The 11,079-nt window shown below is 49.2% G+C and overlaps 4 annotated features.

Annotated features, from left to right (window-relative positions):
- Positions 3 to 212: an enhancer, noted in NCBI's record as "active region_28028". NCBI's record gives its function as "activates an Ori minimal core promoter by ATAC-STARR-seq in GM12878 lymphoblastoid cells {active_cell/tissue: GM12878}" and the evidence as "EXISTENCE:reporter gene assay evidence [ECO:0000049][PMID:35858748]".
- Positions 223 to 302: an enhancer, noted in NCBI's record as "active region_28027". NCBI's record gives its function as "activates an Ori minimal core promoter by ATAC-STARR-seq in GM12878 lymphoblastoid cells {active_cell/tissue: GM12878}" and the evidence as "EXISTENCE:reporter gene assay evidence [ECO:0000049][PMID:35858748]".
- Positions 2,170 to 2,350: a silencer, noted in NCBI's record as "fragment chr8:141518766-141518946 (GRCh37/hg19 assembly coordinates)". NCBI's record gives its function as "represses an EF-1alpha promoter that drives an FKBP-Casp9 reporter gene in an ReSE screen in HepG2 liver carcinoma cells {active_cell/tissue: HepG2}" and the evidence as "EXISTENCE:reporter gene assay evidence [ECO:0000049][PMID:32094911]".
- Positions 7,621 to 7,821: a silencer, noted in NCBI's record as "peak7190 fragment used in MPRA reporter construct". NCBI's record gives its function as "represses an SCP1 promoter by STARR-seq MPRAs in K562 erythroleukemia cells {active_cell/tissue: K562}" and the evidence as "EXISTENCE:reporter gene assay evidence [ECO:0000049][PMID:32103011]".

Below are 11,079 nucleotides of genomic sequence, written 5' to 3'. Positions count from 1 at the left end.
AGGGGGGACGACCAAGCGGACAGCGGATGCGTCCTGCGCCGGTAGCCAGGCGACCGGTGGAAGAGCAGAGTCCAGCGCGGGCGATGCGGCGGGGCCAGGCTTGCTGCGCCGCGGGGTGATTGGGAGAAGAGCCTTCCTGCGGGGTGGAGGACGAAGAGCTGCCCTGAGGAGGTCCCGGAGTCTGGTGGGAACGGCCTCTTCGGGACTGCTCCGAGAGACGGTGTGCAGAGCCTGGCGTGCTCGCCGAGGTCTGACAGGCAGCCCGGGGCTAGGTCCTGTTGGATTTTTTTTTCTAAGGAAAATGGGAAGTGGTGGTAGGGTTTGAGCAGTGGAGTCCCGGGCAGTTTTAAAAGGATCCCTGCAGCTGCCGGCTGGGAGGGCGTGGGTGCGCGTAAGGCCGGAATCACAGAGACCAGGTAGAAGATGATTACGAGAACCCAGGAACGTGGCCCTCAGGAGGCCGGCAGTACCAAGGGGACAGCAGCTGGGAGGAGAGAGGCAGGAGATGGTCAGGGGCCAGACCAGGGAAGGCCGCGGAGACCGCAGAATTCGCTCTGAATGAGTGGGGAGGCCCTTGGAAGAGTAAGGGGTCCAACTTAACTTTTTTTTTTTTTTTTTTTTTTGACACAGAGTCTCGCTCTGTCGCCAGGCTGGAGTGCAGTGCGATCTCGGCTCACTGCAACCTCCAACACCCCGATTCAAGCAATTCTCCTGCCTCAGCCTCCTGAGTAGCTGGGATTATAGGCACGCGCCACCCAGCTAATTTTTTGTATTTTTAGTAGAGACGGGTTTTCACCATGTTGGCCAGGATGGTCTCGATCTCCTGACCTCGTGATCCGCCCGCCTCGGCCTACCAGAGTGCTGCGATTACAGGCGTAAGCCACCGCGCCTGGCCACCAACTTAACTTCTGCCAGGATCATGGGAAGTGGTAGGGTTTGGGGTCTGATTTCAAGAGGGAGCTGCTGTGGAGTATCAGCACAGCTTACTGAGATATCAGAAAGGCCTTGGTAAAGAGCCCTTTACTGAGACAGGGAGCACATTTTGGCAGAGGTTTGAATTGGAGCGTGTTAAGTGTAGTGTCTTCTTCACCACTGTGACGTGAGGTCCTGGCGCAAATAATTGAGCACAGAAATACATGTCAGGCATTGCTAGGCACAAGGGTACAGCCAGTGAGCAGGGCTGCCATGGTCCCTGCCCTCTTAGAGCTGACCTTCAGGTCTGAGGGAGACTGAAAAATAAGTAAGAATACCTCCAGCCGGGCGCTTTGGCTCACGCCTGTAATCCCAGCACTTTGGGAGGCCAAGGTGGGTGGATCACCTGAGGTCAAGAGTTCGAGACCAGCCCAACCAATATAGTCAAACCCCATCTCTACTGAAATTATTAAAATTAGCTGGGCGTGGTGGTGGGCACCTGTAATGCCAGCTACTCGGGAGGCTGAGGCAGGAGAATCGCTGGAACCCAGGAGGCAGAGGTTACAGTGATCCGGGATCGCGCCACTGCACTCCAGCAGCCTGGGCGACAGAGGGAGACTCCATCTCAAAAAAAAAAAAAAAAAAAAAATACACCTCCAATGCTGAAAGCTACGAAGGAAACAAAACCATGTGCGAGTGATAGGGCAGCCCCTCTGGGAAGTGACATTTGTGCCCAGATCTGAAGAAAGAAAAGGAGCCACTCATACAGAAAGACTGAGACAAGATGAGCTTTCGGGACAAGTCAGGCTCTAGGGAGAACACCTGACGAGGAAAATGCCTGGGCAGTTTGAGGAACTGAAAAGCCAGTGTGTCTGGAGCTTAGTGAGGGAGGCAGAGAGCACGGGAGGTGTGGTTACCAAGGTAGGTGGGACCGGCTCTGGCCCTGGGTAAAAAGTTTGACTTTCATTCCAAGAGTAATGGAAAATAATGAAGAATTTTGAACTCGAGGTGGTGCATGCCTGTAATCCCAGCACTTTGGGAGGCTGAAGCAGGCAGATCGCTTGAGCCCAGGAGTTTGAGATTAGCCCGGGCAGCATAACAGGGCAGCATCTCTACAAAAATTTTATTTTTGGCCGGGCGCGGTGGCTCACACCTGTAATCCCAGCACTTTGGGAGGCCGAGGGGGGGCAGATCTCCTGAGGTCAGGAGTTCGAGACCAGCCTGACCAACATGGCGAAACCCCGTCTCTACTAAAAATACAAAAAATTAGCCGGGCATGGTGGCACGCGCCTGTAATCCCAGCTACTTAGGAGGCTGAGGCAGGAGAATCGCTTGAACCCGGGAGGCGGAGGTTGCAGTGAGCCAAGATCACGCCACTTGCACTCCAGCCTGGGCAACAAGAGAGAAACTCCATCTCAAAAACAAACAAATCCAGACCAGCCTGGCTAACATGGCAAAACCCCCTCTCTACTAAAAATAGAAAAATTGGCTGGGCATGGTGGTAAGCACCTGTAATCTCAGCTGCATTGGCGGCTGAGGCAGGAGAATCACTTGAACTCAGAAGGTGGAGGTTGCAGTGAGCACAGATCACACCACTGCACTCCAGCCTGGGCAACAGAGCAAGACTCTCAAAAAAAAAAAGTTTTGAAGGGAGCAGATCCACTTTAAAAGCTCACACTGGTTCTTGAGTGATGACCAAATGGCACTGTGCCTTATGCAGAGCCGACTCCTGGCAGTTTGCACAGGCTGGAGGTGGAGCTGCAGACTCCCTCTCCCTCTCGGCCTTGCCTCTGTAAATGGGAAAGCCGTTGACATTCACAAAAGAGGGGCAGGGAACTGCTACACAAGAGCAGCTACACAAGAGGGTCCTTTGGTCCACACAGGAAACAAGCCATAGTGATGACATATTTTGAAGCTGTTAGATGTTTTGTTTCCCTAGCTGGCTATTATTTTTGTATGGCTTGTCTTTCTCTTTTGAGTATGTGTGAGAACAGGATGGGTTAACATTAGGGAAGAGCACAGAAGAGGAAGGAAGGAAAGAAGGAAGGGAGGGAGGGAAAGGAGAGAGAATAGGGATGAGAAGCTCAGCTTGTAGAATTGGCAGGTGATGTTTGCAGTCATTAATCATTTGAGAAGTAGAGAGAGAAGCCAAGCAGGAAATCTTCATACTGGAAAAGAAGTGCTCACCATTAAAAAAAAAAAAAAAAAAAATCCAGTGTGGTTCACAGCTGTAATCCCATCACTTGGAGGCTGAGGCAGGAGAAATACGTGAAGCCAGGAGTTTGAGACCAGCCTGGGCAATATAACAAGACCCACATCTCTACAAAGAGAAAAAAAATGTAAAAAAAAGAAGCTTTAAACCTAAGACGGCAGAATTCAAGACTGTTGTCCTTGAGAACTTCCTGGCTCTGGAAAAAGCTCAGTGAGTTAGTCTCATCCTGTCGTTAGCTCTGTTTTTTAGGGGCTCACTTTGTCTTCACGACAGTACCTTGCACCATTCTCATGGGTATCCCAGGGTGGTGCAAGGCAGTTTTCTGCACTTCCCAGAATGCCCTGTCAGCTGGCTTCTGGGTAGGTTCTGCAAATTGGAGGCCCCTGTGAAAGATCGCTGTGGGGTGGGAGGAAGAAGCTTTATCTGCCTGCTGGCTGCAGGGTAGAGGACTGCAGTGGGGTTATAGGGATCACCACCTGCACATGTGGAGCTTTGAGCGGCTTCACTCTAAGTTTCTGCTCAACAGTGGCAGCCCTGGAGTCCTTCGGGGGCGAGTGTGGGCTCCTGGGCTCCAGGCCAGGGGCAGTCCCAGCTTCCTGATCTCGAGGTAGCGTCTCCTCCCTTTTGCTCCATAGCACCTCGCCCTTCTCAGTGACGTGCCTCCTTCTCAGTCATGCGCCTCCAGCTCTAACAATGTCCTTGAAAACAATTCTTGACCATGCGCCGTGGCTCACGCCTGTAATCCCAACACTTTGGGAGTCTGAGGCAGGCGGATCACTTGAGGTCAGGAGTTTGAGACCAGCCTGGCCAACATGTAATCCCAGCTACTCCCTCCACTTGATTTGTGTTCCTTGAAGAAATTTGCATAATCCCTGTATCTGGTTGGCAGATAGCAGAGATGTAGCCTCAGTCTTTCCTTTAAAAATTTTGCTTTAGGCAGGGCGCGGTGGCTCACACCTATAATCCCAGCACGTTGGGAGGCCAAGGTGGGCAGATCATGAGAGCAGGAATTTGAGATCGGCCTAGCCAATATGGTGAAACCCCGTCTCTACTAAAAATATAAAAATTAGCTGGGCGTGGTGGCACAAGCCTGTAATCCCAGCTATTTGGGAGGCTGAGGCAGGAGAATCGCTTGAATCCAGGAGGCAGAGGTTGAGATGAGCCGAGATCACGCTATTGCACTCCAGCCTGGGCAACAGAGGGATACTCCATCTCAAAAAAAATTTTTTGCTTTAGGGCCAATCGTGGTGACACACGCTTGTAATTCTGGCACTTTGAGAGGCCGAGGCAGGTGGATAATTTGAGGTCAGGGGTTCGAGAGCAGACTGGCCATGATGGTGAAATCCCATCTCTACTAAAAATACAAAAAAAGCCAGGTATGGTGGCATACGCCTGTAATCCCAGCTACTCGGGAGGCTGAAGCAGGAGAATCACTTGAACCCGGGAGGTTTAGGTGGCATTGAGCCGAGATTGCACCACTGCACTCCAGCCTGGGTGACAGAGCGAGACTCCATCTCAAAAAAAAAAAAAAGGGCCGGACGCGGTGGCTCACGCCTTTAATCCCAGCACTTTGGAAGGCCGAGGCGGGTGGATCACCTGAGGTCAGGAGTTCAAGACCAGCCTGGTCAACATGGTGAAACCCCGTCTCTACTAAAAACATTAAAAAATTAGCCGGGCATGGTAGTGGGCGCCTGTAATACCAGCTACTGAGGAGGCTGAGGCAGGAGAATTGCTTGAACCCAGGAGACAGAGGTTGCAGTGACCTGAGATTGTGCCACTACACTCCAGCCTGGGCAACAAAGCAAGACTCTGTCTTAAACAAACAAAAAGCCCAGTGTGGTGGTGTATATTTGTGGTCCTAGCTACTTTGAAGGCTGAGGTGGGAGGATTGCTTGAGTACAACATGTAGAGGCTGCAGTGAGCTGTGATTGTGCCACTGCACCCCAGTGTGGGTGACAGAGCAAGACCCTGTCTCAAAATAATAAAATTAACATTCATTAACAATAATGTTAATATATATGTTAATGTATATGTTAATCGTAATGTTTATATTTTACCATGATAAAAACATTTTAAAATCATATATCAACTCTTGCCGTTCTCCTGTTGAAAACTCTCCAATGACTTCCCACTCCATCATCCTGTGGGATGGGTCCACCATGCTGGACCACAAGGCTCTGCACAATGCGGCTCCCACCAGCCTCTCCCCTTGGCCCAGATTGCTTCCTCCTACCCCTTTCTCTAGCTGCCAGGCCCCCCAACCCCCGCATGGAGCCCTTCAGCAGCTCTGTGAGCTCCCTGCCTGTTGGCAGCCATCACAGCAACGGGCTCTGGTGTGCCCCTTGTTATCCCTGTATTCAGGCCATTATCTGTAATGACAGCCTGGCATAATTTTATTTTCACAATTTGTATAATTATATTCTATTGAGCTAAATGATCATTATAATCATTATTAAATATTTATTAAGCACTTCTAGCTGTGCAAACATAATAAGATGTGGCCTCAGCTCTTAAAATCTTTCTTCCTAATTCCAACCCAAATTCATTTCAACTTAACCAATCTTCCTTCTTGGAGAAGGAGGGAACTTCGGCGTTTTGTCTGGGTTTCCATGCCCGAGCTTATAGGAGCTTCTTAGCAATGCTGTGGAGCAGATGCTATTGACTTCAGTTTACAGATAAGGAAACAATCAGACTGAGGAAGCTAGTATTAATAAGTAGCAGAGATTAAGATTTGCCTGTGGTTCTTTTTTACACAAAGCCTCTCCCACTCCTTTCATGCACTGTTAGCCAAGTTTACTAGAATAGGCAACTTCCTTTTTAAAAAATCCTGTTTACATTTTAGGTGCCAAACACTGTGCTAATCCAGTGGGGGAAACATATGCTCAAAAAGATCACTCTGAGACCAGGCATGGTGGCTCATGCCTGTAATCCCAAGCCTTTGGGAGGATGAGGTCTGAGGACTGCTTGAGGCCAGGAGTTTGAGATGAGCCTGGGCAACATAGTAAGGCCCCTTCTGTACAAAAAATTTAAAAACTAGCCAGGCCTGGTGGCATGTGACTACAGGCTGCAGTAAGCTATGATCGTGCCACTGCACTCCAGCCTGGGTGACAGAATGAGACCCTGTCTCTAAAAACAAAACAAAACTCAAGCAGTATCCTAAGTCAGGGTCCAAGCAGTAATGGAAATGGGTGAAGCTGACAGGCGAGTGATAGAGAATGGAGGGGTCTGTAGCAAACGTGACGACTCTGGCTTACCTAAGAGGGCAGCCAATTTTGCCATGAGGCAATGTGGGATCAGTGAGTGCTGTTCCAGTCTTCAATTTCGATTTATAAGTAAAATCTCCAATATTTTATATGTTGGCAACTTTGGCATTCCTTTCCTTAAACCTCACTGCCACCCCGCACCCCAATTCATTTCAGTAGGGATCAGATAGCCAACATCCTTATAAAATCAAAAGTATACAGGCCGGGTGCAGTGGCTCACACCTATAATCCCAGCACTTTGGGAGGCCGAGGCAGGCGGATCACGAGGTCAGGAGATCGAGACCATCCTGGCTAACATGGTGAAACCCCGTCTCTACTAAAAATACAAAAAAAAAATTAGCCGGGCGTGGTGGCAGGCGCCTGTAGTCTTAGCTACTTGGGAGGCTGAGGCAGGAGAATGTTGTGAACCCGGGAGGCGGAGCTTGCAGTGAGCTGAGATCACGCCACTGCACTCCAGCCTGGGTGACAGAGCGAGACTCCATATCCCAAAAGAAAAAAAAAAAAAAGATACAAATCTTAATTGGCATAAACCAGTCCTAGTAATATCATGCCCTTTGGCCAGTCGTTGGTCACAGGGTGAGCTAATGACCCAACTCTGACAAATTACATGTAAGAGGAATACTGCTAAAAAGATATTTTCGGCCAGGCGTGGGGGCTCACACCTGTAATCCCAGTACTTTGGGAGGCCGAGGCGGGCAGATCACTTGAGGTCAGGAGTTTGAGACCAGCCTTGGCAACATGGTGAAACCCCATTTCTACTAAAAATACAAAAATTAGCCGGGCATGCTGGTGGGTACCTGTAATCTCAGCTACTCGGGAGGCTGAGGCACAAGAGTCACTTGAACCCAAGAGGCACAGGTTGCAGTGAACCAAGATCATGCCACGGCACTCCAGCCTGGGCGATACAGTGAGACTCAGTCTCAAAAAAAAAAAAAAAAAAAAGAGTATCTTTTCTTCAGTAAAAAGACAAAGCTGTTTGGGTGCAGTGGCTCACACCTGTAAGGAGAATTGCTTGAACCCAGGAGGTAGAGGTTGTAGTGAGCTGAAATCATACCACTGCACTCCAGCCTGGGCGACAGAGCAAGACACTGTCTCAAAAAAAAAAAAAAAAAAAAAAGACAAAGCCTTGAGGGCTGAGGAAGAAATGTGGAAACTGCCCTTTCCCTTTGTTCTTGTCTAATGCAGTCACAAAGTCTGGAGCAGTAGCAGCCATTTTTCAACCATGAGGCAGTAAGCATGAAGCCTAAAACCAGCATGCCAAGAAGGACAAAGCAGAAAGACTGAAATCTCTAAGGCCCTTGCAGACACCCTTACTGCATCAGTTCCAGACTTGGCTCCCATAGCTCCAGATGTGGCCATGGCCACTGTATATGTAAGCTTGATGGAATAAGCACTAATGCGGCACCTTAGAGCTGCTGGAAAAGAGACCAATGGACATGTACGAATGGGGGATCCTGCCATTTGCCGAGTAAAGGCCTCCTGTGTAGAAGGTGTCCTTTGATAAGCATTCACATGGAATACAAATCTCCACTCATCTCTCCCCAATCCAAAAGGTTCATCCACACCCCCTCTCCAGACCTTCTTGTCTTTCTGTCTCCAAACATGTTCTTTCCAAGTTTCTGAACCTTCAAAGTGTTAGTGACTGTCCGTGAACTGGAGTAGACCCAACCCTTCTGGCTTTCTTGCTTGCTTTTTTTTTTTTTTTTTTTTTGAGATGGAGTTTTGTTCTTGTTGCTCAGGCTGGAGTGCAATGGCGCGATCTCGGCTCACCACAACCTCCGCCTCCCGAGTTCAAGCAATTCTCCTGCCTCAGCCTCCTGAATAGCTGGGATCACAGGCGTGCGCCACCACGCCCGGCTAATTTTGTATTTTTAGTAGAGACGGGGTTTCTCCATGTTGGTCAGGCTGGTCTCAAACTCCTGACCTCAGGTGATCCACCTGCCTCGGCCTCCCAAAGTGCTGGGATTACAGGTGTGAGCCACCGCACCCAGCCCACTTCCCTGTTGATTCTGTCTCTCTGGAAGAACCCTCACTAATAAACTTTACTTGACCTTCAAAATAATAATGCTCAAAAGACACCCTCATTTGGGGTGCCAGAGTCTGGCATTTGTTCTCTACCAGTGCCTGGTAGCAAATCTGAAGCTGTGTAATGCTTAAATGGAGAATAGTCATTTTCAGAGGAGGGTATATCTTTGCTCTAAACCCCTTGGAGTCTGTGCTGTGACTTTTATTTTTTATTTTTTTTTTTGAGACAGAGTCTTGCTCTTGTTGCCCAGGCTGGAGTGCAATGGCGTGATCTCGGCTCACTGCAACCTCCGCCTCTTGGGTTCAAGTGGTTCTCCTGCCCCAGCCTCCTGAGTAGCTGGGATTATAGGCACCCACCACCACACGCAGCTAATTTTTTGTATTTTTTAGTAAAGACTTTAAAGACATTTCAATTTCACCATGCTGGCCAGGCTGGTCTTCAACTCCTGACCTTAGGTGATCCACCGCACCTTGGCCTCCCAAAGTGCTGGGATTACAGGAGTGAGCCACTGCACCCAGCCTGTGCTGTGACTCTTATACTGGTCCCTGCCAGAACTTACAGGAGCATGACCTGTCACGGACAACCTGAGCACCACTGGATCTGCAGGGTTATCTGTCAAATGGGTCGGAGCAGCATACTCAAATGTGGTCGCTATTATCTCTAAAAGTCAAGGAAAGCCAGCAGTGCAGGACACTCAAATCCAGACGTCATTCCACTAGCTAAGCTAAGCAAACAGTTGGAGCTATCCCAGCTGTCGAAGCTAACACGCTGCATTTAGACTCTCTTGCAAGTCAGCTGTGTTGGTAACTAGAGGCTCTGGATTGACACATTAGAATCCACTCCCATACATTCCCCAGGTTTTGGCTGGTAAAAATTGATTGATATCCCATAATTCCTTCAGCATGTGAACTTCTCCCAAATCAGGTGTTTTGTTTTGTTTTGTTTTGTTTTGTTTTGTTTTGTTTTGTTTTGTTTTGTTTGGAGACAGAGTCTCACTCAGTAGCCCAGGCTGGAGTACAGTGACATGATCTCAGCTCACTGCAAACTCTGCCTCCCAGGTTCAAGTGATTCTTATGCCTCAGCCTCCCGAGTAGCTGGGATTACAGGCATGTGCCACCACGCCCAGCTAATTTTTATAATTTTAGTAGAGACGGGGTTTTGCCATGTTGGCCAGGCTGGTCTTGACATCCTGGCCTCAAAAGATCCACCCACCTCGGTCTCCCAGAGTTCTGGGATTACAGGCGTGAGCCACCACGCGTGGCCTATAGTAAGTTTTGAAATCAGGAAGTGTGATTCCTCCAGCTTTGTTCTTTTTCAAGATAGTTTTAGCTATTTGGGGTCCCTTGAATTTTAGGATGGATTTTTCTATTTCTGTAGAAAACACTGTTGGCTGATATATTATTTTAACTTAGGGTGTAGTAATCATGCTGGCTGTGGTGGCTCACGCCTGTAATCTCAGCACTGTGGGAGGCTGAAGCAGGCGGATCATCAGAGGCCAGGAGTTCGAGACCAGCCTGGTCAACATGGTGAAACCCCTTCTCTACTAAAAAAAAAAAAAAATATATATATATATATATATACACAGACACACACACACACACACAAATTAGCGGGGCGTGGTGGCATGCGCCTGTAATCCCAGCTTCTGGGGAGGCTGAGGCAGGAGAATCGCTCGAACCCAGGAGGTAGAGGTTACAGCGAGCTGAGATCGCACCATTGCACTTCAGCCTGGGTGACAAGAGCAAAACTCCATCTCAAAAACAAAAAAAGAATGACGCCTTAGTTTGGGGTTAGAGCAAATGGTGCTGCCTATTTCTGGGATGGGGAAGACAAGAAGGAATAGAGTTGGGGACAGAGGTATCAAGAGTTATTTGAGGGCACAGAAGTCCAAGATGGCTATAAGACAGTCAGGTGGGAAGGTCAGTGGAGGCTCAGGGGGGACATGCAGGCTGGGATAGAAATGTGAGCATCCCCAGATAGGTGGCCTGTAGGGCCATGAGCCTGGTAGGGTGACTGAGCGAGGAGAATAGCCGGAGAAGGGGAGGTCCAAGGACCCAGACCCACCTGGTTATTTCACATTTGGGGCCAGACTGGCTTTGTTTACCATTGATCTGAGCATGAAAATCAAGTGAAAATCAAAAGGAAGCCAGGAGCCACGCCTCCTCCGTGACTGCGGATCCTGGGCCAATGTTTCGCTGCTGCAGTGAGACCCCTGACTTTGTGTGGGCAGTGGGACCAACTGGGCATGTGCAGTGATCAGTTGCTAAATATTGGCACTCTCATTAGCCTTGGGATCTGGAAACCTCCATCCACCAGACACAGCCCATTTCCAGCTCACCCGCTCTCCACACTAGGACTCTGAACACCCTTTCTTCATGCCTCTTCTCCTTCCTAACTGCCTGCCTGCTCCAGCAGGCCTCAGGCCACTTCTTTTTTGTGTGCCACCACACCCAGTGGTGTATTTAAAATAACAAAAGCTGGAGGAACATGGTGGCACCTACCTATAATCCCAACACTTTGGGAGTCTGAGGCAGGAGGATCACTTAAGCCCAGAAGTTCAAGACCAGCCTGGGAAACATGTTGAGACCTCAACTCTAAAAAGTTTTTAAAATTAGCCAGATGTGGCCAGCATCATCCTGATACCAAAGCCGGGCAGAGACACAACC

This window comes from Homo sapiens, chromosome 8, assembly GCF_000001405.40.
Source record: "Homo sapiens chromosome 8, GRCh38.p14 Primary Assembly".
NCBI lineage: Eukaryota > Metazoa > Chordata > Mammalia > Primates > Hominidae > Homo > Homo sapiens.
This window is presented reverse-complemented; position numbering and strand designations above follow the sequence as displayed.